At 33.1% G+C, this 20,841-nt stretch overlaps 1 long non-coding RNA gene across 1 annotated transcript in view; it reads left to right on the top strand.

Moving 5' to 3' along the window:
* The window catches only part of LINC02232 (long intergenic non-protein coding RNA 2232), a 90,220-nt gene that overhangs the window by 59,430 nt on the left and 9,949 nt on the right, over positions 1–20,841 (top strand). The window contains exons 3-6 of the long non-coding RNA NR_033976.1: positions 5,035–5,115; positions 5,706–5,798; positions 7,232–7,464; positions 18,410–18,479. This is a non-coding gene — a long non-coding RNA (long intergenic non-protein coding RNA 2232). The remainder of the gene's footprint in view (positions 1–5,034; positions 5,116–5,705; positions 5,799–7,231; positions 7,465–18,409; positions 18,480–20,841) is intronic.

The raw sequence follows: 20,841 nt of genomic DNA, 5'->3' as shown, positions 1-20,841 counted from the left end.
AGACCTAAGTCACAAAGTTCAAGACAAAGTATAAGCAGGGATATGTTATGTTCAAATATTATTTTAAAATCAAGTTCCTGAATATTGGGCATTACTAAATCCCTTCTGCTGGTGATCACTTTGGTCACACAGACCATGACTGGGCTGACCCTGTAGGTAGAAGTCAAAAGTACTCCAAAGGTGGACAAAGGATGAATGAAGGAAAGAACACCTAGTCTCAATAAGAATAGTTGTGCCATTCATTAATTTATTTTTACATAGAATGGTAGTATCATCAAATAAATTATATTATAAATATCAAACTTAAAAACATTTTTTCTTATGTCAATTTCAATGACAGAATTCTCAAAAGACTGCACTGTTATGAGTGTCTTAAGTAGCTGTACATATATCGATAAAAGAAAATACTTAGAGAACCTCAGGAAAGAAGAAAAATAGATCTTAATTATAGTTTTTATTCATCCATGTTTTAATGAGAAATTATGGCCCACATGATAAAACCTTCAATCACAAGTACAAAAACTGTAACTTTGGTGTTAGAAATTTTGAAAACTTCCTCTATTTAACTGTTAGGAAACAGTGAGAAAGTATGTGTTGTAAAGATAGAGCCAATTAATTTGAAAAAAGAAGACCTAAGCTAAATCCAACTCAAGGCTCACATTGAGCAATTAGTTTAAACTCCATCTCAATTTACTAAAGATGAGTCAAATGTGCTCTCTCTCCTGCAGAGTTGGAAGGCCAAATCAAGGAGTGTGTAGATAAAATGTTTAAACCACTTAAATGTCCTACAGATGCAAATTGCTATTGTTGTAGAGCATAGCTGACATCAATATAATTCTGGGATGATATATTGTAATTATCTATGTCTGTATAATAAAAGTTTTGTTTTGGCCAACCGACTTTTGTTGCTTTCTTAGAACAGCGTGACTCAAGAAGAATAAAACATTTTTAACATATACTATCCAAAAACTAGTATACATACAAACATGTTGTTAAACACAATAGTAAAAGAACTATCACAGTTATTTATATAATTTTATAAATGTTGATTCTGTGCCTTTTATGTCATATTGCATACATCAACCTTGAACTTCATCCCAGATGGACAGAAAAATATCGCTTTTAGTGGGTGAAATGATATACTGCATAATTAATCACCCAAAACAGAGTAGGTTTGATAGCAAAAGGAAAAATTAAAAATAATAAATATTATACTTAAAAATATATATTATAATTATCAATGATTGTTTTATTATTTTGATGTACTCATAAAATATTTTATTCAAAAATAATTTTCAAAAAATATTTTGTAAAAAATTACAAATTCACATGAAAGCAAAATTTATAACCTTCATGTTTATTTTATGATTATCAAAAAATAAAAGCAATGTAACTATTCTTAGCACATAGTCATATACTTTAATCATTTTCTTACACTTAAATGTGTCTAATACTATACCTTGAGTCTTTTTCTGAAAATAATTTAAAAAATAGGTTCTAATTATTATTGTTTTATATATATACTTAGTCTATTATATAGCCTAGTTTTTAAAAAATATAATTGGTGACAATATTATTTAAGCTTTCATTTTAGACTAATTGCCTTTTTGTAGATGATAATCTTTTAATCGATAAATATTCTCTGTATAGACAATGATACGCTTGGTAAATTCAGGGAAAATGCTACTAAGAGGAGGTTATCTCAAGTCTCAAATTTTTCATGTTATAATATGTAAATATTTCAACTCTATTTTTTTAGGAGTACTCTTTGTCTGCAAAGATTCTCTTATTTTGATAAATATTTTATGGTTGTAATATGCAAATTCCCAGCCCATCTTTTTCTACTCACTCAAATGAGACTCTAGAAAGTTTATATACAATCAGAAACAATGAAAATGAAGGAATGCTTTCCTCATGTGTAAGTTTACCTCAAAATGAAGTTTGGATAATTTTTGTGTTTTATCAATCAGATACATGAAAAAAACACTTACTTATTTAAAAATATTTGTAACTTTTTAATTACTTTGTTAGGAACAAAATATATTGCCTACCTGCATTTTTATGAATTATATAATTATGAGAATTAGTGATGTCAATAATGCTAATAATGATACACTAGTAGCAATGATAGAGTTTTTCTGAGGACAGTGTAAAACAATTCACGTTAAGCCATTAGCATAGTCCTTGTCCTATAATTAAAGCTCAACACATTTTTCTGCAGCTTTTATTTCTCAAATTAATCTTCTGTTTAGCTTGTTTTTCCAATTTATAATTAGTGCATTTATTCTTTTTTGTAAGTTTATGAATTCTGCATTTAAATTGAGGTCATTCATTGTTGTTATTAAACGTCAATTTTTTAAATTTATCATTTCCTTTTAACTTCATAAATTTTGTTACCAGGCATTGATTTTTAATTTTTAAATAGACTTTATAGATTTATTTTTTTTGATTTTTAAATTTTGTTTGGTGTACGTTCACATGTTATACTAGTTTTTGTTTTCAACTTCTATTTTCAAAATGAAGAAGTTATTCTTCCTCCTAAATAAAAAATATTTTGCTGATATTTTTATATAATAGCTTATCCTTCTTTTCTAAGGTAAGAAGTAGTTTATCTAGAATTTTGGTATAATGCATGAGGCATGAATTTTACTTTTTTTCACAAGTTTCAGTTAAATGTTTTACCATAGATAAAAGTCCATCTTTAACACACACTTTTAGATATATTATTATGTATTAATTTTACAAGTATAAATCTCTATTTTTGTTCTATTTATTCTCTTGGTTTGTTAACATATGACTCTGATAGGAGCATATAGTTTTCGTTATTTTGCATTCTTAAACTTGATTGTGGTAAGTCTGAAATAATAACAGGAGTTTTAAAAGGATATACATTCAAGCTATTTCCAAAGATATGACTATGAAATATTTTGAGGTTTCCTTTAGTGATAGGGGGTTAACAGATGGCTCTTAACATGAGACAAGTTGAGTTCACCAAGGTGAGTACTTAGGAGGTGGTAGAACTGCATGCACACTTTATTTAGCTACTAGATAAATGTACATTTCCATAGTCTTAATCTTCAATAAAGAATTTATACATTAGAGTTAGAAGGTAAGAAAGGGTGAAATGAATTCAATCATTGCCTGAAAAATTTCATAACTAATTCTATGTGGTAGTTACACAATGAACAATCAATCAGACAAGGAAATCTAAAAAGAGAAAGCTCTTTTTCAACTTTAATTAAAATAAGACCTTATAAGTTAAAAATCCACTGTGCTAAGATTTGGCATAGTTTTGAAAAGAGACCTGCTTCAAGCTCAGGATGACATGCTGAAAAGCAGGATTTTTCACCAACACTAATCTCATGTTTCTTTTATATAAGGGCAAATCCAAAATCAATTCTGCTTTATCAGAATTGATTCAGGATCAAGATTACATATAAATGCTGAATCAACATTCAAGACAACAAACTACACTGGAGACCTTCTTAATGCAGATTGACAGTCACTAGATGAATGTGACATAATTGATCCTTGTTCTTTGTCTAATAATTATTCATTTATGTCCAAAAAATTTTCAGAGCAACACTCATTCTCCCCTTCCTTAGATTTTTAAATTATCTCCACAGTCCTAAAGTTCAAGTTCCTGAAATTTCCTTTTTTATTGTACTAAGTACAATTTCTGGAAACCTAAAAATCCTGAGAAATTTGGCAACTTAATTATCTGGAAAAACTTCCTAGGAAATAAGCAATTAAAAGTGATTAATCTTAGGGAATGTTATTTTGAAGATACTGTCTGAAGGATGTTCTAGGTGGATATGAAAATGTTTTTATTTCAAATTTGAAAGATTAATATGGTTTATGTTTGGTTTATTTATTTTTCTTTTTTAAACTCTCTTAAAGCTACACTTATATTTTTGGATTTACTGTTAACATTCTTGTCAATGGATTCCTAATTTCAGACATGTATCATTTTAATCATCTTCCAAGAATGTTCTTGTTTCCATAGTGGTATAAAACTTTTCTTTCAACAGGACAATGATCTCTGACCTTGCCACTAAGAGTAAAAAAATGTGCTGAACACCTTTACTGGGATACTAGTCACTGTGAGTTTACAAAGAAAACAGTTTATCCTCCACTAACACTACTAAAGCTGACTTATTACTTTTTGTATAACTTCTCATCTTATGACTCACACAGATCTTTGGCAATTAGGTTCACTGGCCTTGGCCAGGCTAAATTTGGCCTTAGCTGATTCTGTCTTCTCTGGTGTAGAGGAAACCACTTTTTTTTTTTTTCTTGTAAAGTTGGTCGCGTCTGGCCCAACATTTGTATTGGTAAGTTTACACTCCATGATCATTTATATTATCGTACTGCTTTCATTAGATTGGTAGCTCAAATTCTATATCTTTCTGGGGGTGAGACAAGAAGCTCATTTTTTTTCTCCCTGCCCTTGGTAATAGGAATAAAAAAAAGGGCAAAAATAATTCTAGGTTGAGTACATCTTCTCTGTAGATGCAAAATCTCTTTTGGTTGGATTTCCTATGTTCAGTCATTTAATTATTAATGAATATTACAATAATATTTAACTGTGACCTATATCTAATCCACAATTTCCAACCAGTCTTAGTTGGTATTAATACTAATATTTTGATATCCTTGTCTTTTACTCTACTGGTTTAATTCTCAACTAATTCTGAACTTACAGGTGATATATGAAGTGTAGGAAATAATTAGTAGTAAACCCTGATAGAAGAATACACCCGTTTCTACAAAAAAATACAAAAATTAACCAGGCATGGTGGCCCAACTACTCAGGAGACTGAGGTGGGAAGATCACTTGAGCCCAGAAGGTTGAGTCTAAGTGAGATGTGATGGTACCACTGCACTGCAGCCTGGGCAACAGAGTGATGACACTGTTGAGAGAGAGAGAGAGAGAGAATTAATAATTCTTCTCATAGCAGATACTTATGTTCTTGTTAACATAAATTTTCAATAAGACCTTATCTCTTACCTTCTTGTTTTCCTTCACTATAGGATTAATAATTCAATTCCAGCTTTCCTGGAAGCCAGAAGTCAAAATATACTTGGGATTTCTATAAATATTTTTTAATTATGGTAAGAACAAACAACATGAGATCTATGTTCTTACCAAAATTTTCAATGTATTATACAGTATGATAACTATAAATAAGCACAATGTTGTACAGAAGTTATCTAGAAATTATTCATCTTACATAACTGAAATTTTATGTCCATTTAATGGAAACATTCGATTTCCCTTCCTCCCTATCTCCTAACAACCACAACTCTACTTTCTGCGTCTGTGTTTGACCATTCTTGTTACCTCCTATAAGGAGAATAATGCAGTATTTGTCCTTCTGTGACTAGCTCATTTTATTCAGCAAAAATTTTCTCAAGTTTCATCCATGTTGGTGCATATGGGAGGTGTGATGCTTAATAATGTCAACTTGAGTGGACTGAAGGATACAAAGTATTGATAATGTGTGTGTCTGTGAGGGGGATGCCAAAGGAGATTAACATTTGAGTCAGTGGGCTGGGAAAGGCAGACCCACCCTTAATCTGGATGGGCACAATCTAATCAGCTGCCAGCACAGCTAGAATGTAAGCAGGCAGAAAAATGTGAAAAGAGAGACTGGCCTAGTCTTCTGGCCTACATCTTTCTCCCTACATGCTTCCCGCCCTAGACCATCGAACTCCAAGTACTTCAGATTTGGAACTCGGACTGCTTTCCTTGCTCCTCAGCCTGCAGATGGCCTATTGTGGGACCTTGTGATTATGTGAGTTAATACTTAATAAACTCCCCTTTATATATATGTGTGTGTGTGTGTGTGTGTGTGTGTGTGTATAATATATATATAAACTCCCCTATATATAAATATAAATATATATAATAAAATATAAATAGATATCTAATATATAATAAATGTATATTTATATAAATACATATTTATATAAATAAAATAAATATATAATAATCTATTATATATTATATATATATACACACACATACATATATATATACACACACACATATTCCATTAGTTCTGTCCCTCTAGAGAACCATGACTAATACAGGAGGATTTACTTCTTTTTATAGTTGCATAATATTTCTTTATAAATATGTCATATATTCATTATCCAGTCACCTGCCCTGGACATTTAGATTGTTTCTATATCTTGGCTATTATAAAAAATGCTACAATGAATATGGGAATGCAGATATCTCTTCAAAATGATAATTTTAAACCTGTTGGAAAATTATAAATAATAGAGATTGATGGATTATAAGGTAAGTCTGATGTTAATTGTTTTGAGAAATCTCTATATTGTTTTTCATAGTGGCTGCACCATTTTACATTCCCACTGACAAGGTACAATGGTTCCAACTTCTTCACATACACGTATGGATATTATGGTGTTGTCATTTTCTTAAATCATTACCATTGTAACAAGTATGAGATAATGTCTTATTATAGTTTTGATTTGCATTTTTTTTTGATTAGTGACTGGATTATTCCCTTTTGTGTTGCCATAATGGAATACCCGAGACTGGAAAATTTATAAAGAAAAAAGTCTTATTTGGTTCACAGTCCCGTAGGCTGTACACAAATTACAGCACCAATATTTGCTCCTGATTAGGACATCAGGAAGCTTTTACTCATGATGGAAAGAAAAGGGGGCCAATGTATCATGTGGCAAGAGAGGAAACCCAGAGACAGAGTAAGGAGGGAGGTCCTAAACTCTTTTTAACAATCAGATCTCATGTGAACTACTAGAGTGGCAACTATTTACTGCTGAGAGGGCACTAAGCCATCCATGAGGGGTATGTCCCCACCTCCCACTAGGCTCCACCTTCAATATTGGAGATCGAATTTCAACAAGGCATTTAGAGGAGGCAAATATCCAAACTATCTCAATGAAGTTGAGCATCTTTTTATACAAATTTTGGCCAATCGTATGTCTCCTTTGGATAAATGTGCATTCATGTACTTTGCTCATTATTTGTTTTTTGCTAAGTTCTGTAAACTATTTTATATATTTTAGATTTCACCCTTATGAAATATATGGTTTATAAATACTTTCTTCCATTCAATAGACACTCTTTTCACTCTATTGATTGTTTTCTTTGCAGAGCAGCAGCTTTTTAGTTTGACGTAGTCCCACTTGTCTTTTTTTTCTTCTTCTTCTTTTACTTGGGATTTTTTTACAGGTAGTGAGACGAGCATGAGTGGAGCAGGAGACGGCTGTCCCCCACCCACAAGGAATATCAGATGATGGTTCAGCGATCATCACATTGCCTCTCTGAAAGTGATAAATTGGCAGCTGGCACCAGGGAGAGGCTATTTCCTGATGGCCCACACCTGTTGCACTAAGATGTTAATCGAATGCAGATTCCAGGGAGAAACAACTTCCTGGGCATGTGCGTAAGAGACAAAATGGCAGGTATGACCTTCTGGGGACACTCCACCAGAAAAGGGAAGAAAACCTCAGATGGGCATGCATATAACTTCCTAAACACACTGCTCACACTCTCCTCCCAAGGGTAAGGAGGGCACTGCACATGCAGGCAGCCCATCCTAAGGGAAGCATCCTGGGAAAGGGGTCAGTCTATATGGTTCTGGGATCAAGATTAAACACCACATTAGACCTTCAAGTTGCCCACTTGGGTCTCTTCTATGTGTATTTTTCTTTCCTTTCTTTTCTGCTCTAAAGCTTTTTTAAATAAACATACACATCCCTCCTCTGAAACTTGCCTTGGTCTCTTTTTCTGCCATATGCAACTCAGTCAAATTATTTCTTCTGAGGAGGAAAAAATTGAGGTAGCTGCATTCCCATACAGATTCACCATCGGTAACTCAGATACCTTCTACTGGCCATATGTTTGGTGTTCTATTCAAGAAATAATTGCTAAAGCCAATGTCTTAAAGTGTTTTTCTTATGTTTTTCTTCTAAGAGTTTTACAGTTTCAGGTCTTACACTTAAGTATTTAATTAATTTGAGTTGATTTTATGCATGGTGTAGGATGTGTGTAATATTCAGTTTTTCTAACACTATTTGTTGAAGAGACTATTCTTTTTCCACTGTGTATCCTTAGAAGCATTGCTGAAGTGTTGTTGAAGGTCAGTTTATTTTATATATATGTTTGTGTGTGTATATATATATGTATGTGTGTGTATATATTTATATATATAATATATGGGATATTTCTCAGCTATCTATTCTATTCTATTGGTCTGTAAGTCTGTCTTTTTCTCAAAATTTGTAATTTTTTTTATTTTTTATTTTTTATTTATGACGGAATCTCACTCTGCCACCTAGGCTGGAGTGCAGTGGAACCATCTTGGCTTACTGCAAACTCTGCCTCCCAGGTTCAAGCAATTCTCCTGCCTCAGCCTCCCGAGTAGCTGGGGCTACAAGTGCCTGCCACCACACCCAGCTAATTTTTGTATTTTTAGTAGAGATGGGGTTTCACTATGTTGGGCAGGGTGGTCTGGAACTCCTGACCTTGTGATCCACCTGCCTTAGTCTCCCAAAGTGCTGGGATTACAGGCGTGAGCCACCATACCCAGCCAAAAACTTGTAATTTTAATTAATGTCACTATGTAATAAATCTTGAAATCCGGACATGTAATGCCTCCAACTTTTTTCTTTGCTACAGACAATGTTTGTTTCCCCTAAAAATTTATATGTTGAAGCCTGGTCCCCAGTGAAATGGTAGCTGGAGGTGGGTCCTTTGGGAGATTATTAGGTTGTTGATAGAAATATGGACAGTAAAGGCAATCTGATGAGGTCTCAGATGAATATAAGAAGTATGTTATTGAATGGTAGAGGAAAGGCCATCATTATCATAAAGTGGCAAGGAATTTGGCTGAATTTTGTTTGCTAGTGTTTTGTTGAAGGTCCAACTTATGAACAATAAAACTGGATATTTAGATGACTCTATTTCTAAGCAAAATGTTGAAGGTGTATCTTCGTTTCTCCTGACTGCTGATAGTAAAAGATAAGAGAAAATGACTTGAAGATAGAATTGCTAATCAAAAAGGAAGCAGAATTCTCAGCCTGTTTATATTGAAAAGAATGAGAAGCCAGTTTATGAGGGAACACTAAGGAGTAAGTTAGCAATTGCTTGATAAGGATATTAGTGTGGATCACCCTTCTCAACAGAAGCCAGGAGCTAATCTACAAGACAATCAAAGAATGACTAGGAAGGCAACAGAGATCATCAGGGCTGCCCCTCTTATCACAGAGTGCAAAAACCTGGAGGCAGAGCAGTTTCAAAGTAGGGGCCAACAGCAGCTGCCTGCCCTCAGTCTCTGTTATTCCACACTTCCTGATATCACATGCTCTACTCCCTGTACTCCAGCTGCAGGTTTCTTTTCTGCCCCAGGTGGGGCTCTGATGGGTCTCAGTGTGGGATGGGCCCTGGTAGCTGCTCCTCTGGAGAGCATAAACAGGAAACTTTGGCAGTATCTGTGCAGTGCTGTCACTGCCAGCTCACAGAAAACTGTGGTATGGGATGCACCCAGGAGAGTCGTGGTTGGGGTCATTGCTGTGTCCATCCAGATATAAAGGATTGGGGCCATCACAAAGAGTTCCCATTATAGTGGTGCCCAGGCAAGTCATGAGAGTAGCGTTAAGATTTAATATCATTTGCCTCATTTGTTTTTGAACTTACTTGGGACCTATTACTAACTTTTTTCCCCCCTATTTCTCCCTTTTGCAATGAGAATGTCTATACTATGGCTGTCCCACAAGTGCATTTTGGAAGTATGTAACTTGTTTGGGTTTACTGATTCACATGTAGAGAGACATTTGCCTTAAGATAAATTCTACCCTGAATCTCACCCATATCTGGTTTGAATGATGTTTGGAAGAGACTTTGGACTTTTTAAAGTTGGTGCTGCAATGAGTTAAGACTTTTGGGGTTTCTGGAATGGAATTAATGTATTTTGCATGTGAGAAGAACATTAATATTGAGGCACCAGAGATAGAATACTATAGACTAAATACGTTTCCTCAAAATGCATACATTCAAACCTAATCCCCAATACAAGAGCTCTCATGAATAAGATTAGTGCCCTTTTAAAAGGGACCCCAGAAAGCTTCCTGACCCCTGCTGCCAAGTCAGGATACATTGAGAAGACAGTCATCCCTGAAACAGGAACTGGCTCTTCACCAGACACTTAGACATCAAAGCTGACAGCACTTTAATAAATACTTTCTAATCTCCAGAATGTAAGAAATAAATTATGTTTATAAGCTACCAGGTGTGTGGCATTTTCATGATAGCAGCCAAATTACACTAAGACATTTTTATTTTTCAAGATTGAGTTGGCCTTTCGATGTCCTTGGTGGTTCTACACACATCTTATAATTAAAAAAAAATTGTAAAAAAGTCATTGAAATTTTGATAGGCATTGCATTGAATCTGTAGATTATTTTGGCTAGTATGAACATTTGACAGTATTAATTATTTTAATCCATGAACAGATGTCTCTATTTATTTCTGGCTTTTTGTGTTTCTGTCATCAGTGTTTTGCACTTTTCAGTGAAAAGTCATCTCCTTGCTTGAGTTTACTCTGAAGTATTTTATTCTTTTCCAAACTACTGTGAATACAATTGTTTTATTTTTTAAATTTCATGTTTGGATAATTCATTAGTATATACAATCATAACTGATATTTTTATTCTGCAGCTTTACAGAATTTATTTATTTGTTCTAAAAGTTTTTTGTAACATATTTAAGTTTTTCTACATACAAGAGTGTGTCATCTGCAAAGAATAACTTTACTTATTTTTCAGTTGAAATATCTTTTAGTTCCTTTTTTTTTGAATAATAGCTCTGGCAATAGCTTCCAGTATTATGTTGAATAGAAGTGACAAGAATGGACATCCTGGTCTTGTTCCTGATCTTAGGGAAAATGCCTTCTGTTTTTCACCAATGAATATCATGTTAACCTGTGAACCTTTCATATATGGCCTTTACTGTGTTGAGGTAAGTTCCTTTTATACCTAATTTGTCGAGAATTTTTATCATGAAAGAACATTGAATTTTGTCAAATGCTTTTCTGCATTAATAGAGATGATCATGCAATTCTTCTCCTTTTTTTTTAATGTAGTATATCACATTGAGTGATTCCGCATCATAGGGGTGAATCCTATTGGGTAATGGTGTATGTTTCCTAAAAAATTTCTATTGAATTCTGTTTTTTGGCATTTTGTTAAGCATTTGTATGTCTACGGTCATTAGGAATATTGACCTGTAGTTTTATTTTCTTGAAGTGTCTTTGTCTTTGATATTAGCATAATATTGGCCTCATTAAAATAAAGTTGGAATCTTTCACTTCTCTTCAATTTTTTGGAAGAGCTTGAGAAGGACTAACTTTAATTCTTTATATATTTTATAGAATTCACCAGTGAAACTATATGGTTTGGGGATTTTCTTGTTGGAAAGTTTCTAATTACAGATTAAATAACCTTTCTAGTTATAATTGTGTTCATATGTTATATTTCTCCATGATTCTGTCATGGTAAATTGTATGTTTCCAGGAGTTTATCCATTTCTTCCAGCTTATCCAGTTAGTTGCTGTATATTTGATTATAACAGTCTCTTATGATCCTTTTTATTTCTGTGGCATCAGTTCTAACGTCTTCTCTTTCATTTCTGATTTTATTTATTTGAGTCTTCTCTCTTTTTTCTTAGTCTAACTAAAAGTTTATTATTAACCTTTTAAAGTCAATATTTTTTAAATGTCCATACTACATAAAGCAATCTACAGATTCAATGCAATCCATATCAAAATACCAATGGCATTCTTCACAGAAATAGAACAAATGCTAAAAATGTGTATGAGACCAAAAAAGACCCAGAATACCCAAATCTATGCTGAGCAAAAGAACAAAACTGGAGAAATCACATTACCTGACTTCAAATTATACTACAGAATTAGTATTACAGTATAGTAACCAAAACAGCCTGGTACTGGCATCAAAATAGACACATAGACAAAACAAAACAAAATAGAGATCCAGAAATAAATTTATACATCTACAGTGAACTAATTTTTGACAAAGGTGCCAAGAACATACACTGGGGTAAGGATAGTCTCTTCAATAAATGTTGCTTGGAAAACTGGACATCTTTATGCAGAAGAATGAAATTAGATCCCTATATATTACCATATACCATTTACATTAATCAAATACAAATGGATTGAAGACTTAAATCTAAGACCTCAAACTATGAAACTACTAAAAAACAAAAAAAATCAGAAAAACTCTCCAGGACATTGGTTTTTGCAGAAATTTATTGAGTTAACCACTCTTGTGTTGCTGTGCTGATGAAGTATTATAATGAGAAGATTGTCCACTTTTTTTCTACCATCTTAATTGTGGCTGGATTCACACTTGTCAGAGGTGCAGGTGCCTCTATATTTCTTTCTGGATCTCTCACAAATGGAATTGGTCCATATAGTAATGTTGAAATAGGTGTATTCATGGGGAAAAAGAAGGGTAGATATTCTGCCTTCTTGCTGATGTCATTTCTCTATCAAAGAATTTTTTATCATAGTAATAACTGAGAGAGCTTATGTGAAACATTTCTACATTCTTATTGCCTTGAACAAATACGGTGTATATAAGGCTACAGCAACAGTACAGTTTTAGGGAAATTGAATTATGAATAGTTGCAGAGAAATTCAGCTATGCCAGCCTTAATCTTATTGAGTTGTTTAATCACTCCAAGCAGCTGCCCTCTTTAGACTTTCCATTATTTATTTAAAAAAGCATAGACCTTATAGGTTATAAGCATAATCTCCTAATAACTGACTTCTGTTCTCTATTCTATTACTAATGGTGTTGAATTCAGAAGTGTTTTCTATCTGAATTGCTAGAAATGTTAAGGGCAGAAACATGAAAAGTGTGCTTAAGCCAAAAAGCACTATGCCCTCTTCCCATATTGTGCAATCCTTAGCTCTAAAATTAATGAGAAGCATGACATGCATGTGCTTGGTCTTTAGCATATACCAAGGAAAGACTGCCATCCAAATTACTTTAGCATGGTGGTTCTTACAAAGGTGCTGAGTTTTACCCAAAAGTACATTTGGTGAATTCTGGAGACATTTTTAATTGTCACAACTGAGAGTAAAGTGGATTATTAGCATGTAGTGGTTGGAGACCAGGTATACTACTATACATCTTATAATATACAAAAAAAAACCCCACACAACAACAATTATCTGATCCAAATGAGAATAGAATTGAAGTTGAGAAATTGTGCCATTAGCCTAATGAATAAAACTCTGCGAGTAAAGTGAGGCAAGTAAGATTTCAAAAGTTCCACGCAGATTTATCATCTACATGTCTGCACCAAAGCAGTTGGAAAACTTTAATCCTGTTTTTGGCTTTTGTTACCCTCTATGCTGGTTTCCTTTTGCATATTTTAGATAAGTAAGCCTTATTTGCTTTACACAGATTTTTATCTGTGTCTGGCCATCACATCAATCTGAAAGGGGTATTAACATTTTTCAACATGGTGGAAATACAAATTGGTAGCAGTAGTAAGATCTAGACAATACAATCAAACCCATTATGAACAAAGAGATTTGGAAAAGGTTGCAAGGTACTATAGAACAAAAGCCAGAAAAGATATTTTGAAATCCATATTGTGTGCTAAACATTCATAATCTAGCATGACAAAAGTCTTAGAATATATAATGTGAGCAGGAGGCTATAATTCTCAAATATATTAAAATAGAAGCTGTATTATAGAAACAAAGAAACACATAAAAATTTGCAATATTCAGACTATTGTTATCTGCTCAGGGAAAAAACATTGAACCAAGGAAGGACCTTGATATAGCCAGGTAAAAGTTACAGATTCTGGAGCTTACTGCACAGTATTTCCCAGACACTGTGATAAAGGACCTATAATGAGTAACTTTATGTGTGTGTTTGTGTGTGTTTAGAATGAATGGTAGCATATGAGGTTTCAGTGATGACGGGAAGAAGTTGATGGTCGATACTAAATTTCTAACGTAAATTCACTTGTGAAGAATGTGGTTATTACTCAAATATCTAAATAAATTATGCATATTATGAGTGAATGGGGATACCCTGACATATCTCCCAGAGAGTAGGATTGGGAATGCATATTTTACAGTATTAGGAAGCTCTGTATTTTCCAAAGCCAAGAACTGTGGTAAATCTGAATCAGTTCAGGCTCTCTAAGCAATATGATGACATTGACTTTTTATGTTAATTAAAGGGTTCTTGGTGCCTACTGACTCTTGAATAATGATCTGGATTGACTGATGTAAAAGGTGGATATGAGCTGCAGACTTAAGACTTTTTCTATTACTAATGCTGCCATCTTTGACATGGTAGCCAAGGTTAAAGTACTTTCAGTGAGCTGAAAGAAAAACCTCTGCAGTAATTGCTCTTTCTATATCTTTGAGGATGGTCATGACGGAGGAGATAAAGGAGCAAAGCTCTTTTGAATGGAAAGCAACAGGCAGTTTGCCCCTGGCTGAAACTCAAAAAAATGTATCTCGTGTCATTGTCAGTCCTTATTATATTATTACTTTTATGGTGTTGCATGTGTAAGCTACAGAAACAAGTTCTGATTGGAGTCTCTGGCATCAGTACAAAGGAGAGTCTCAGTGGCGGTTTTGGTCTTTGAAGCCAATTAATATCTGATAAAATTGTTCGTGACTCCACTTATAATTAGTAGGCTTCTACTTAGCAGAGGTTAAAAATGCCATCACTACTAAAGAACATCAAATCCCTTCAAGATCAGGGATTTCAATAACATCCTGTCTAATGTCAACAAAACATTCAAATAATGAGCCAAGTAAATACATTGTTTAAATAAAACTGGTGCATACAGAAATATGAAAATCAGCACCATATAAGAAGAATCCATAATATTCCTAAAAATATTATGGACGTGTAGTTAAAGTGACTTTACCCAACAAAATGATCTGTGTCTGGCAAAAGATGTTCACTCACCATTGGTCATAATTTGCAACATTTGTCTTATATTTGCAAATCCCCCCTTCATATATATATATACATACACTATAGTGAATGGCAGCATTATATCACAATATCGAGAGAGACAGAGAGAGAACATAGTACATAGTATATTGTATACAGATATAGGGTATGTACATAGTGTATTATATATACTATGTTATATTTATATAATATATTGGCTGGAAAATTGGAAGGCAATAACATATATCACAAGTCACTCCAAAATACTTATAAATGTGTTTTTGAAGAAAACAGGAAAAATGTGTTTCAAAGAAAAAAGGATCTTATTTTAACTTAATCACAAATTACTAAATTCAGAAAATTTAAAACTCATAAATCATTAACGTATGTCAATATTCAAATATCACCAATTGTCTAATAATGTCCCCTTCCAATATCAATGCATAGTCAAACATTATAATACACGTTTGAACAAAGAATTTCAAGCGATAGAATAGCTAATTCATTATTAGCTAATTCATTATTATTTTCTAATAAATTTTATACATTTATTTGCAAACATGACTGGTGAGAGAGTACACAAAATAGAAAGCCATAAATATATGCAAAATTTGACATAATTAAAAGTTAAGGTGGCTTTTTTTGAATATGTTTTAGTATACATTTTTCTGGAAGTTAAATGGTAGTTCTCTTGTGCATTACTGGACAAGCAAACAATAGCTGTTCCATTGTGGACTATGTATAAAACAAACAACTTGCAATGAATTATTGAAGTGAATATACGTTGCAAAGCTACTTTTCACCCAGTTAACATAAAGACATACCTTGTTTTTCTGAGTAAGTAATCTATACCCCAAAATGCACCTGTGCCCTCAGCTGCCTGCTGAAAAAAAAAAAAAAAGTATGGTTAATTAACTAGGATGTGGTTCATAAGGTTTGTGATGTTATCTGCCTAAGGAGTATGGAATCAATTATTCACTTTTGAAAATGAGGGAAATGACAAATAAAATGTACTTTGGGGGAATTTGAAATATTTTTCTTTCAAGAATATATCCAAAGGTGGAAGTCAGCATGACATCATGTAGAGGCTTTGCAAACATAGCAGGTAAAACTCTGAAATTCTTAACCCGATGAGAACACACATAATATTTGAAAAAAGTTTAAGTGTTGATTTCAGATTTCTAATTATCTAACTGATTTTAGGCATATGTGCCTGAAGATGACAATGTCCAATAATTTTTTTAAAGATATACCAAGTGAGTCCTTAAGATGAGGCACGACACTACTATATTATATGTCTTAGCATGCTAATTTCTAAATGCTAAATGAGAACGGTTCTAGCAAATAAAATGTTAGCACAGTCTCGAATGAAAGGTTAGTGAAGCACAAGCACTCATACTTCTCTACCATTCTTGGGTATTCAACATAAAGGAACATAGAATTTGCAACATTTGCATGGTATCTATACTGATCTTCCATGCACCACATGGCATTTTCTATTTCAGTATGCATGAATAACCATTATTTTGTAAGTTGGTTCCATTTTTCAGTACAGATTATAGACTCTCGTTATTGCCACAACAATCATTTGACTACACATCATACAGGTGTAATACAAACATTTATTATACTATATGTTGCCTTCTAATATGAAGAACCTTTATACCAGACATCTTAGAGACGCTGAATTAATATCAGAATTAACCCCAAATCCTGATTAGACCATTACATTAGATACATATGGAAAACTATGAGTTTAACGTTCATCTGTGTCACCAAGTATTTTAAAAAACCTCTACTCAATAAAGCAATGATAAAGGTGTCACTAGTATAACACTTGTTCCCTCTACAACTATGTTGACTGTTTCTTAGAAATTATCTTCCCATGGGAAATCACTTATTAATAATCAGTTACTCCAGGACAAAGGGAAATATGGTGTCTGGTAAGGTGGATCCTTCCATGACAGTTTTTAACTTCTTACAAACTTTAATTGCAAGGTCACTTCTCTAACATAGTGTTTATTTCATAGTACTCAATTATAACGATTCAAAAGACGAAACTGTAATTTGACACTAACATGATGAAAACTGTGGTTCTAAGGAATATAAAGGTTTTAGGACTACAGCTTAAATCACTGTCACTGAGACCAGTGTTTAATTAGTTTTAGATACCTTCTCTACTTAAAACTGATTTATTAACTTGCTGGAGCTTTATTTTTCATTACCAAAGTCCCAGACTGATTAACTTGTTCTATGATCTGTGTAATCAATTGTTTATCATGAATTGAACCAACAGCTGCAGAACACAGTTGGAAATAACCCAGGAGCAAAGGAAGACATTATTTCAGGAAGAGAAAACAAAATAGAAGGAATAAAGCCAACTAAAATGTAACTTACGCAAAGATGAGTTTAAAGGTGTCTCTAGTGTGCTACTTCTTAGCTATTAACAAGAAACAGTCTCAGCCCTCAGGTCCTAAAGTAAACACACTGACACAGTGTAGGAGTAAATTATCTATGAGAGTAAAAGACAGGTTGAAGATCTTGTTTTACATGAAGTTTAATTATGTTATTTAAAAAACGATGTTCTTCATATTTTTGTTGTTATAATTGTATATATCTGTCGAACCTTAAGTGATTGTTATCTTCATACATGAAGTAAAACGATTTGTTTCAATTTTTGATACACATATTCAGGAATGTCTATTTGAAATAGATTTATAAGTTATTAATACTCCATAAATTAAGTATTGTGCTAATTATAATAAGTACAATTATGTTGATACTTGGTGTGAGCAGAGTAATGATACATTATTCGGCAGAGAATATTTTCTTTTAATTTCTTCATTTTTAATTGATTAACGTATGTACCCTTAACACTAACATAAATTAGACTTTTGAAAATATTTTGAAATTAAATTTCAAAACCAGAAGTTTACAAAGAGAACATAGCGTGGAATAAATAAAATAAATTAAAATTAATTTTTTCTTTATAATACAAATTTAAGTTTTTTATTTTAGAGTTATTATTTATTTTTCAGTGACTTGCTCTACTTCCTCCCAAAGGATATCAGTCCAATCAAAAATGTCGCGTATCACTCTCCTCAGCACCCATTTCTGGAAAACCTAATTAGTGACAATATCCCATAAGTAAATCAGATAGAATTCATTTTATAGCATTTTCTTCTAAACAGTATTAGTTTTATTAATTAAGCCTACTCCATTTTTCTTCCTTGATAAAATTTTAATGACTTAGGGAAATATAAAGTCACTTTATAGACAATGATTGAAATGATTGATCTTATTAGCTTTAGCAGCTTTATTTTAAAAATTAATAATATGTCTTCCTGAACAGTTCATTGATTGTCTCCACTGTAACAATTCATTTTCTCAGTAAAAATTAGAGAATGAGATCAGAATATGGATACATTGCAAGAGGTGGAGCCCTGGAACAAAAGTAAGAGGTAATATGCTTTCAAGCTTTTTTCAGATTGGCTGTACTATTTTTCTGTATCATCTACATATCATCTACCTATCCATCTATCTATCTATCTGTCCACCTATCTATCACTTGTCTGTCTAATCTATATTTCTGTGTGAAGGAGGAAGGGGAAATACTATATTAGAATCTTCTTTCAAATAAAAATATTGCAGAAATATTTCAACTTTTTTAAATTTCAAAGTCAGCTTTATCCAGGATTTTGTAATTGCTCATGTCATTGTTATTTTGAAGAATGTACAAATTCACTAATCTATTTAGGAGTGAATATTAATTATGCACACCTATTGCAGATATAAGGTTTCATAATATGATTCCAATTTTGTTTTGAACAAACAAGTTAGGGCAAAAATAATCAAAAACATTAATGTGTTCATTCAGTCACACATCTTTAGTATTCCTTTAGAATCGTTATAAGAAAGATTATCTGCTCTACATGGAATATGCAAGGATAATTGACAAATTCTGTTGTTCAGAGGATTTACATCTACTGAGGGTGATACACATATCAATACATAGCTAGAATATGTTGTAATAGCTGTGATAAAGAAGCTGTGAAGAAAGCCATATGTACTCAAATCCACAAAAGTGAACTTTGATATGAGTGGATTAGGGAACACACACAATACACACACAGATGCACACACACACAGATACACCACCCCTCCCAAATTCTAATACCACGATTGTCTTTGTCCCTATTTTGGTTTAGTCAATATTGTGACCAATGAGGTAATTTTAATAAAATGTATGAATATGGAAATACTAATTTAGACAAGACACAGCTACATAGTGTAATATGCTTTCACTTTATTCTTCTGCCACATTTTGCATCTCCTGAAGTTATTTGATATTTTGCTTTTTGCTTTCTTATTATTTTCACCTACTTAATTACTATTCTTACTAAATTGCTTTTCTTGAGTCATTTCCTGAATTGTCCCTCTTCTCCCTTTAAGAGTTTTGTTATCTTATTCCAGTCTGCACTGGTATGCTCACTATTTTAAAAAAATGTGTTTAACCTTTATTTTAAGTTCAGGGACACATGTGCAGTTTTGTTACATAGGTAAACTTATGTCATGTGGGTTTGTTGTACAGATTATCACCTAGGTATTAAACCTAGTATCATTAGTTATTTTTTCTGATCATCTCCCTCCTTGCATCCTCCACCTTCCGATAGGCCCTAGTGCATGTTGTTCTCCTCTAAGTGTCCATGTGTTGTCATCATTTTGCTTTTACTTATAAGTGATAACATGCGGTATTTGATTTTCTGTTCTTATCTTCATTTGCTAAGGATAACAGCCTCCAGCTCCATCCAAGTCCCTGAAAAGGCAAAGGACATGATCTTGTTCTTATTTTTTGGCTGTATAGTATTCAGTGGTGTATGTGTACCACATTTTCTTTATCCAGTCTGTTATTGATGGGCATTTAGGTCGGTTCCATGTCTTTGCTTTTGTGAAGTGTGTTGCAATGAACATTTGCCTACCTGTGTCTTTATAGTAGAATAATTTATATTCCTTTGGGTATATATTCAGTAATGAGATTGCTGTGTTAAATGGTATTTCTGTCTTTAGGTCTTTGAGGAATTGCCACACTGTCTTCCACAATGGTTGAGCTAATTTACACCTTCCATCAACAGGGTATAATTCCTTTTTCTCCACAACCTCACCAGCATCTGTTATTTTATGACTTTTGAATAACAGCCATTCCGCCTGGTGTTAGATGGTATCACGTTGTGGTTTTGATTTATATTTCTCTAATGATCAGTGATGTTGAGCTTTTTTTCATATGATTGTTGGTCGCAGGTATGTCTTCTTCTGAAAAGTGTCTGTTCATGTCCTTTACCCACCTTTTTATAGGGTTATTCATCTTTTTCATGTATATTTGTTTATGTTCCTTATAGATGTTGTATATTAGATCTTTGTCAGATGCATAGTTTGCAAAAATTTTCTCCCATTCTGTAGGCTGTCTGTTCACACTGATGATAGTTGCTTTTGCTGTGCAGAAGCTCTTTAGTTTAATTTGATCACACCATTTGCTAATTTTTGCTTTTGTTGCAATTGCTTCTGGCATCTTCATTGTGAAATCTTTGCCCATGACTATGTCCTGAATGGTATTGACTAGATTGTCCTCCAGGGTTCTAATAGTTTTGGGTTTTACATTGAGTCTTAAACTACCTTGAATTAATTTTTGTGTATGGTGTAAGAAAGGGGTTTGGTTTTCATCTGCATATGGCTAGCCAGTTATCCCAGCACCGTTTATTGAATAGGAAGTCCGTTCCCCATTGATTGTTTTTGTCAGGTTGAAGATCAGATAATTGTAGGTGTGTG

Source organism: Homo sapiens, chromosome 4 (genome assembly GCF_000001405.40).
Source record: "Homo sapiens chromosome 4, GRCh38.p14 Primary Assembly".
NCBI lineage: Eukaryota > Metazoa > Chordata > Mammalia > Primates > Hominidae > Homo > Homo sapiens.
The sequence above is the reverse complement of the archived record's forward strand: the minus strand, read 5'-3'. Positions and strand labels throughout refer to the sequence as shown.